The 8,993-nt window shown below is 47.2% G+C and overlaps 1 long non-coding RNA gene across 1 annotated transcript; it reads left to right on the top strand.

Annotated features, from left to right (window-relative positions):
- Positions 1-3,265: 3,265 nt before the first annotated feature.
- LOC124905088 (uncharacterized) lies at positions 3,266-7,138 on the top strand. The gene is made up of 2 exons (XR_007068020.1): positions 3,266-3,734; positions 4,991-7,138. It is a non-coding gene; the product is annotated as an uncharacterized LOC124905088 (long non-coding RNA).
- The last annotated feature ends 1,855 nt before the right edge of the window (positions 7,139-8,993 follow it).

Genomic DNA, 8,993 nt, shown 5'->3' with positions numbered 1-8,993 from the left:
TTTCTTTTGTTTTTTTGGAGACAGAGTTTTGCTCTTGTTGCCCAGGCTGGAGTACAATGGCAAGATCTCGGCTCACCACAACCTCTGCCTCCCGGGTTCAAGCGATTCTCTTGCCTCAGCCTCCCAAGTAGCTGGGGTTATAGGCATGCGCCACCATGCCCAGCTTATTTTGTATTTTTATTAGAGACGGGGTTTCTCCGTGTTGGTCAGGCTGGTCTCAAACTCCCTACCTCAGGTGATCCACCCGCCTCGGCCTCCCAAAGTGCTGGGATTACAGGCGTGAGCCACCATGCCCGGCCAGCTTCTGTTTCTTTATGTATAAACAGTACTGTCATGAAGATGCAATGAGATGAATTTTAGCTCAGAGCCTGCCACCTGGTGACTTACCCATGTTAGGTATTGTGGTTACAGCCCTGCTGTCAAACCACTTCTCCAACTCTCTTTCTAGCCTCAATTCATCTGTCAAAGCATTTGGCCCCAGGATTTTGCTGCGTATTCAGAAGTACGACCTCACATCTGCAGAATGCCACTGGCTTTCACACGAGGCCTCCCAGAAAGGGATGCCAGGCCTCAGACACTAGCTGGTGGCTCTCAGGACTTGCCACTCCATTTTCGCATTTTTCAGGACCACATGGCATACAGTTGGTCTCACAGTCTTTCCTGTCTTCCCAGTGGTCAGCTGCAGCCCAGTTCTAGGGCTTCTGTGGGGGAAGACAGGAGAGGGCTTGGAGTCAGGACACTAAAATGTGTCAGACGAAGCTTTGCTTGCAAGGAGCTTACCACTTGGGTGGTGGAGAAGGCCCAGAAGGCACTACTACAGTGCTCCCAAATCAGGAAAAGATCGCTAAATGCCCGTACTACTCAGGATCACATGGGAGCCCAGAGTTGGACACCTGGATCAACTGGGAGCCTACCTGACATTGATGATGTTTGGCTAGAATACTGATGAATGAATGGGAGGTAGCAAGACCGACACTGAGGGAAGGGCATCCCAGGCACAGGGAAGAGCATTTAGGAAGGCTTGAAACAGTTGGATCCATTCTGGGAACTCCAAGTAATTCCATTCTTAAGTTGAGCCAGGGCTAGAAATCGTCAAACCACAACACATTCCAGCCATTGGTCTCTTTTTCTCCCTCTGTTCCATCCCATATAGCTCAATACTATAGCTAGATTTATCTTCCTTCCTTCCTTTCTTTCTTTTTTAAGATGGGGTTTTGGCCGGGAGCAGTGGCTCACACCTGTAATCCCAGCACTTTAGGAGGCCGAGGGGGGTGGATCACCTGAGGTCAGGAGTTTGAGACCAGCCTGACCAACATTGAGAAACCCCATCTTTACTAAAAATACAAAATTAGCTGGGCGTGGTGGCGCATGCCTGTAATCCCAGCTACTTGGGAGACTGAGGCAGGAGAATCGCTTGAACCTGGGAGGCAGAGGTTGCAGTGAGCCCGGACCATGCCATTGCACTCCAGCCTGGGCAACAAGAGCGAAACTCCGTCTAAAAATAAATAAATAAATAAAAATAAAATAAAATAAATTTGGCTCTTCTGATTTTAAAATTGACTGGGGCTCCCTATGACCTAAAGGACCAAGATCAAACTCCCTCTCTTGACATTCAAAGCTCTTCACAGCCTTCCCCCAAACTCTTTCCACGTCTCCTCCCTACCTTTTGTTATAGTTATAGCCACTTGGATGACTTCCTGTTCTTCAAGCAGGCCAGTCACCCTTTTTGTCCAGACTTCTCCCTCTGCCTGCAATGTTCTTTTCCCCTTCTTCCTTGGGCAAATTCCCCCTATCTTCCAAGACCCAATGCAGAGGACAGGTTTACTAGAAGCCCCTTCAGGGTACTCCCAGTGCCTAGAATCCAGCCTGTCATTTTGGTTGAATAATTAATCAGATCAAGAACATCTTCCCTGAGTTCCCAACAGAGACGCCCCCCCACACGCCCTCGTGCTCCCTGCACTCCTCCTCCATGCTATGTTGGAACTTCTTGAAGTCAGGCTTCATTTCTTTTCTGTTTCCTTCCTTGCTTCCTTCCTTTCTTTCTTTTTTTTTTTTTTTTGAGACAGAGTCTCACTCTGTCGCCCAGGCTGGAGTGCAGTGGCACGATCTCGGCTCACTGCAACCTCCGCCTCCCAGGTTCAAGCGATTCTCCTGCCTCAGCCTCCTGTGTAGCTACGACTACAGGCGCCCACCACCACACCCAGCAGTGGGAGGCTGCAGTGAGCTGTGATGGCACCACTGCACTCCAGCCTGGGTAACAGAGCAAGACCCTGTCCCTAAAAGAAAAAAGAAATGTTTGAAACTTACATTTTATTAACAGCAAAGATAAAGAAGCTCAACTCAAGGAAGAATGAATAACCCCTACCAAGTGATTTGGGAGCAATGACAGATTTTGTTAACTAAAGCAAACTCCAGCAGTAAGGACATGACACACCAAATCCCCAAAAGGGTCAAAGCTCTGGGTCACAGATAAAATCTTCCAGAGCAGTCGTTCTCAGACTGTCATTCTTGGCCATCATAATTATTGCCCAGGAACTTGCTAGAAATGCAAACTTTCGGCTGGTCGTGGTGGCTGACACCTGTAATCCTAGCACTTTGCGACGCCGAGGCAGGCGGATCACCTGAGGTCGGGAGTTCGAGACCAGCCTGACCAACATGGAGAAACCCCATCTCTAATAAAAATACAAAAAAATTAGCTGGGCGTGGTGGCACACACCTGTAGTCCCAGCTACTCAGGAGGCTGAGGCAGAAGAATTGCTTGAACCCGGGAGACGGAGGTTGCAGTGAGCCGAGATCGCACCACTGCACTCCAGCCTAGTGACAATGAGACTTCATATCCAAAAAAAAAAAAAAAAAAAAAGCAAACTTTCAGGACCCACCGGCTTACCAAATAAGCTACTGAGCAGGGCCCAGCCTAGTGCCATTACTTTTAATGACAAAACCCACAATTACTTTTGCACTGATACAATAGTAACATCAAGGATCACCGGTCATAGATCAGCATGACAAATATTATTACAGTAATAATAGGCTGAGCACGCTGACTCATGCCTGTAATCCCAGCACTTTGGGAGGCCAAGGTGGGTGGATCACCTGAGGTCAGGAGTTTGAGACCAGCCTGACCAACGTTGTGAGACCCCGTCTCTACTAAAAATACAAAAAAATTAGCCAAGTGTGGTGGCGGGCCTCTGTAATACCAGCTACTTGGGAGGCTGAGGCAAGGGAATCACTTGAACCCGGGATGTGGAGGTTGCAGTGAGCCAAGGTTGCACCATTGCACTCCAGCCTGGGCAACAAGAGCAAAACTACATCTCAAGGAAAAAAAAAAGACCCCCAAAAGGTCTAGCCAAGATCAAAATAACTGAAACCTTTTTGTGGACCAGAAATAAGCAAAACTGTTGATTGGGGTGGACACCCGGACCTGCATGGGGCCAAGGGAGGCCCTGGTGACTGGATGCTTCTCTATTGTGAGGCAGCTGGCGGTAAAAGCCCTGGTGTGGACAACCTCCTTGGAGATGAACAGACCCTGCAACCCAGCAGCTCCAACCCTAGGACACACCTGGAGAAATCTCACACAAGCCACTACTGCAGTGTACTGCTGGAGTGTACATGGCAGCATTGATTGAACAAGTGAAAAATGAAAACAGCCTAAATGCTCAACAGGAAAAGGATAGTGGTGAATCCACACCATGGAACATACTCCAGCAGTTAATATGGATGAGCTGGAACTTCAGGTATTGGCTGGGCGCCAGTTGCTCACACCTGTAATCCCAGCACTTTGGGAGGCTGAGGTGGGAGGATTGCTTGAGCCCAGGAGTTCGGGACCAGACTGGCCAACATGGCGAAACCTTGTCTCTACTGAAAATACAAAAATTAGCTGGGCATGGTGGTGCACGCCTATAGTCCCAGCTACTTGGGAGGCAAAGGCTGCAGAATTGCAGACCACAGGCATTCAGAGAAATAAACAAAGTAATTTGTTTCTTTTTTCTTTTTATTTTGAGAGAGAGTCTCACTCTGGTGCCCAGGCTGGAGTGAAGCGGTGCGATCATAGCTCTCTGCAGCCTCAAACACCTGGGGTCAAACGATCCTCCTACCTCAGCCTCCAAGGTGGCTGGGACTATGTGCACATGCCACCCGGCTGATTTTAACAACTTTTTTTTTTTTTTTTTTGAGACACAGTCTCACTCTGTTGCCAGGCTGGAGTGCAGTGGTGCGATCTCAGCTTACTGCAACCTCTGCCTCCTGGGTTCAAGAAATTCCCCGCCTCAGCCTCCCCAGTAGCTGGGATTACAGGCGTGCACCACGCCTGTAGGGACAGGGTTTCACCATGTTGCCCAGGATGGTCTCGATCTCCTGACCTCGTGATCCGCCCGCCTTGGCCTCCCAAAATGTTGGGATTACAGGCATAAGCCACTGCGCCTGACCTTTAACGACATTTTTATTATAGATGGGGCCCCACTCTGTTGCCCAGGCTTCTCTCAAACTCCTAGGCTCAAGTGATCCTCCAGACTTGGCCTCCCAAAGTGCTGGGATTACAGGCGTGAGCCACCATATCTGCTCAGTGGTAATTTCAGATTATGCCAAATTTCAAAGATTAATCAGGGAGATGTGAGAAGGTGAGTGGAACACATGCTAATTTATTTATTTAGAGACAGGGTCTCACTCTGTCACCCAGGCTGGAGTGCAGTGGTGTGATCTCAGCTTACGCAGCCTCAATCTGGGCTCAAGATCCTTGTGCCTCAACCTCTTAAGTAGCTGGGACCACAGGTGTGCACCAGCACTCCTGGCTAGTTTTTGTATTTTTTTGTAGAGATGGGATCTTGCTATGCTGCTCTCAGGCTACAGATAAGAATTTATATCAGGTGGAACCGAGAAACACATTATGTGCCCCTCATTCCTCCTGTTTAAAATTCCCATCTTGCCTTTTCCCTTTTCATATGTTAGGTTTTGAGCTCCTTGGCCTTAATTTTTTTTTTTTTTTTTTTTGCAGCTTATGGAAAACTGATATCGAGCTTGAGAATGTTGTGAGAGAAAAGCAATTTCAGGGAGACAAGAAAGAGAGCCAAGGCGCAGTGGCTCTCACCTGTAATCCCAGCACTTTGGGAGGCTGAGGCGTGTGGATCATCTGAGGTCAGGAGTTCGAGACCAGCCTGTCAACATGGTGAAACCCTGTCTCTACTAAAAATGCAAAAATTATCTGGGCGTGGTGGCACACGCCTGTAATCCCAGCTACTCAGGAGGCTGTGGCAGGAGAATCGCTTGAATCCGGGAATCCAGGAGGTGGAGGTTGTGGTGAGCCGAGATCGTCCCATTGCACTCTAGCCTGGGCAACAAGAGTGAAACTCCGTCTCCAAAAAAAAAGAAAGAAAGAAAGAAAGAAAGAGGATGTGTCTCTTTTCAGCAGCTGCAAAGTGGTAGACACCATTTCATGTCATAAAATTGATTCAAAGAATCTTGCCTGAATAAGGTGTGTAATTGATATACTCATGAAATTTGTTCTGTTTTCTGTTGCTAAAAGTGATACTTGGGAACAAGATACTAAAACATGCAGAAAATGGATGAATCTCAAAAACATGCTGTGTGGAAGAAGCCAGATCTAAAAGAGCGCCCCGTATACTTCTATTGATATAAAATTCTGGAAACACCAAATCTAATCCATAGTGACACAGAGCAGATCAGTGGTTGCCTGGGTCAGGGCTGGAAGGTGGATTGACTGGGAGGGGTCAGAGGGAACTCCCTGGAGTAATGAGAAAGTTCTTTTTTTTTTTTTTTTTTTTTTTTTGAGACAGGATCTCACTTTATCACCCAGGCTGGGGTGCAGTGGCTCGATCTCGGCTCACTGCAACCTCTGCCTCCCAGGTTCAAGCAATTCTCCTGCCTCAGCCTCTGAGTAGCTGGGATTGCAGGCATGCACCACGACACCCAACTGATTTTTATATTTTTAGTAGAGACAGGGTTTCACCATGTAGTCCAGGCTGGTCTTGAGCTCCTGACCTCAGGTGATCAGCCTGCCTTGGCCTCCCAAAGTGCTGGGATTACAGGTATGAGCCACCACACTGGCCTAGGGAAAGTTCTTTTTTGTTGATTTGTTTTTGTTTTTATTTTGAGACAGGGTCTCATTGTGTTGCTCAGGCTGGAGTGCAGTGGCGCTGCCTCAATTCACAACAGCCTTCCTGACCTGGGCCTAGGTGATCCTTCCACCTCAGCCTCCCAAGTAGCTGGGACCACAGGCCTTTGCCAACACGCTTGGCTAAATGTTTAAATATTCTTTGTAGAGATGATATAGCACTATATTGCCCAGGCTGGTCTGGAACTCCTGGGGTCAAACAATGCTTCCACCTTGGCTTCTCAAAGTGTTGGGAATACAAGTGTGAGCCATCACACCCGGCTTTAATTTTTTTTTTTTTTTTTTTTTTTGTGACAGCATCTTGCCCTGTCACCCAGGCTGAAGTGCAGTATTGTGGTCATAGCTCACTGCTGCCTCCAACTCCTGGCTCAAGTGATCCTCCTGCCTCAGCCTCCTGAGAAGCTGGGACCACAGGTGCATGCCACCATGCCTGGCTAATTTTTTAAAAAAACTGTAGCCAGGTAGCTCCTACGTTGCCCAGGCTGTCCTGAAAGTCCTGGCCTCAAGCAATCCTCCCGATTCAGCCTCCCAAAGTTGGGATTACAGGCATGAGCCACTGCACCCAGCAGAAAGTTCTATATCTTGATAGTGGCAGTGGGTATTCAGATATATCTATTTGCTAAGCCTCATCAAACTGTACAGTTAAAGTGAGACCCTGTCTCAAAAAAAACCTATACATTTAAAATAAGTGCATTGTATTGTATGTAAACTATACTTCAATAACATTTATTTTAAGTAATAAAACAACTGTCCCTGGCAGTATTTGTACAAAGGGAAGGGGTCTTTGAAGACACTCAGAATTCAGACATTATTTTTAGGTCTTGCAAAAAAAAAAACCCCGAAACCAAAAACCTTTAACCTCAAAAACCGCACAAAAGGTAGCTGAGGTGGGAGATCAGAAATGCCTGTTATTCTAATTGGATGTTGTGTTTGATAATTGTTGTCATGATATTGCTATTAGAATATTAAAGTAACAATTAAAATATCAAATGACATCTCTGTACACATAAAGATATAAACACTTGTATTTATTTACATATGGGCCGAGCACGGTGGCTCACACCTGTCATCCTAGCACTTTGAGAGGCAGAGACGGGAGGATCACTTGAGGCCAGGAGTTTGAGACAAGCCTGGTCAATGTAGCAACACCCCATTTCTATTAAAAAAATCTGACTGGGCACAGTGGCTCACACCTGTAATCCCAGAACTTTGGGAGGCCGAGGAGGGCGGATCATGAGGTCTGGAGATCGAGACCACCCAGGCTAACACAGTGAAACCCTGTCTCCACCAAAAATACAAAAAATTAGCCAGGTGTGATGGCGGGCGCCTGTAGTCCCAGCTACTCAGGAGTCTGAGGCAGGAGAATCGCTTCAACCCAGGAGGCAGAGGTTGCAGTGAGCCGAGATGGCACCATTGCACTTCAGCCTTGGTGACAGAGCGAGTCTCCATCTCAAAAATAAAATAAAATAAAATGAAGTAAAAAAAAATAAAAACTATACATTTCATTCATATATACCCAGAGTATGAAAATTGGCAGTTCTCTTTTCTTGCAATATATGAGTATATAATAAAACCCATGACTCCGTCAGTTCCTTCTTCAAACATAAATTTGAAAGTCTTTGAGGCCGGGCATGGTGGCTCATGCCTATAATCTCAACACTTTGGGAGGGTGAGCTGGGAGGATTGCTTGAGGCCAACAGTTCAAGGCCAGCCTAGGCAACATAGTGAGAGCCTGACTACAAAATGCTTTCTTTCTTTCTTTTTCTTTTCTTTTTTTTTTTTTTTTTTTTGAGACGAAGTTTCGCTCTTGTTGCACAGGCTGGACTGCAATGGTGTGATCTCAGCTCACCACAACCTCCACCTCTGGGGTTCAAGCGATTCTCCTGCCTCAGCCGCCCGAGTAGCTGGAATTACAGGCACCCGCCACCAGGCCCAGCTAATTTTTGTATTTTTAGTAGAGACAGGGTTTCACCATGTTGATCAGCCTGGTCTTGAACTCCTGACCTCAGGCGATCCATTTGCCTCAGCCTTCCAAAGTGCTGAAATTACAGGCACGAGCCACTGCGCCCAGCTTTTTCAAAATTTTTTGAGACAGAGTCTGGCTCTGTGGCCCAGGCTGGAGTGCAGTGGTGCGATCTCAGCTCACTGCAACCTCCACCTCCTGGGTTCAAGCAATTCTGCCTCAGTCTCCCAAGTAGCTGGGATTACAGGCACCTGCCACCATGCCTGGCTGATTTTTGTATTTTTAGTAGAGATGGAGTTTTGCCATGTTGGCCAGGCTGATCTCGAACTCCTGACCTCAAGTGATCCCCCAGCCTCGGCCTCCCAAAGTGCTGGGATTACAGATGTGAGCCACCACACTTGGCCAATTGTCACTCTTAGTTACTGTAAGAACTGGTTGTTGGAAGAGCTTGGCACCTCTGCTCTCTCGCTTCCTCCTTTGCCATGTGATCTGCACACAGCTCTCCTTTGCCTCTGCCATGAGTGGAAGCTTCCAATCCTGCAGCAGAAACAGATGCTGGGGCCATGCTTCTAGTACAGCCTGCAGAACCATGAGCCAAACAAGTCTCTTTTGGACAAAAAAGACAAATGACCCAGCCTCAGCCTCAGCTATTCCTTTATAAGCGGACAAGCTACTTTATTCGGATGTTGTGAGAAGTAGATGAGATAATGTGGGTAGAGACCCCAGATGAGGGTCTGGCACATAGTGTATCAGTCAGGACAGGCTAATTAAGCTGCAGTAACAACTCCAAAACCTCAGTCTTTTGACTCAATAAAGGTTTATTTCTCATTCATCCTACACATCCATCACTGGTTGGAAAGGGGGCTTTGATTTCCATAAGTTGCTCAGGGATCCTGACTGAGA

The sequence above is a fragment of the Homo sapiens genome, chromosome 22 (genome assembly GCF_000001405.40).
Source record: "Homo sapiens chromosome 22, GRCh38.p14 Primary Assembly".
Taxonomy (NCBI): Eukaryota; Metazoa; Chordata; class Mammalia; order Primates; family Hominidae; genus Homo; species Homo sapiens.
The sequence above is the reverse complement of the archived record's forward strand: the minus strand, read 5'-3'. Positions and strand labels throughout refer to the sequence as shown.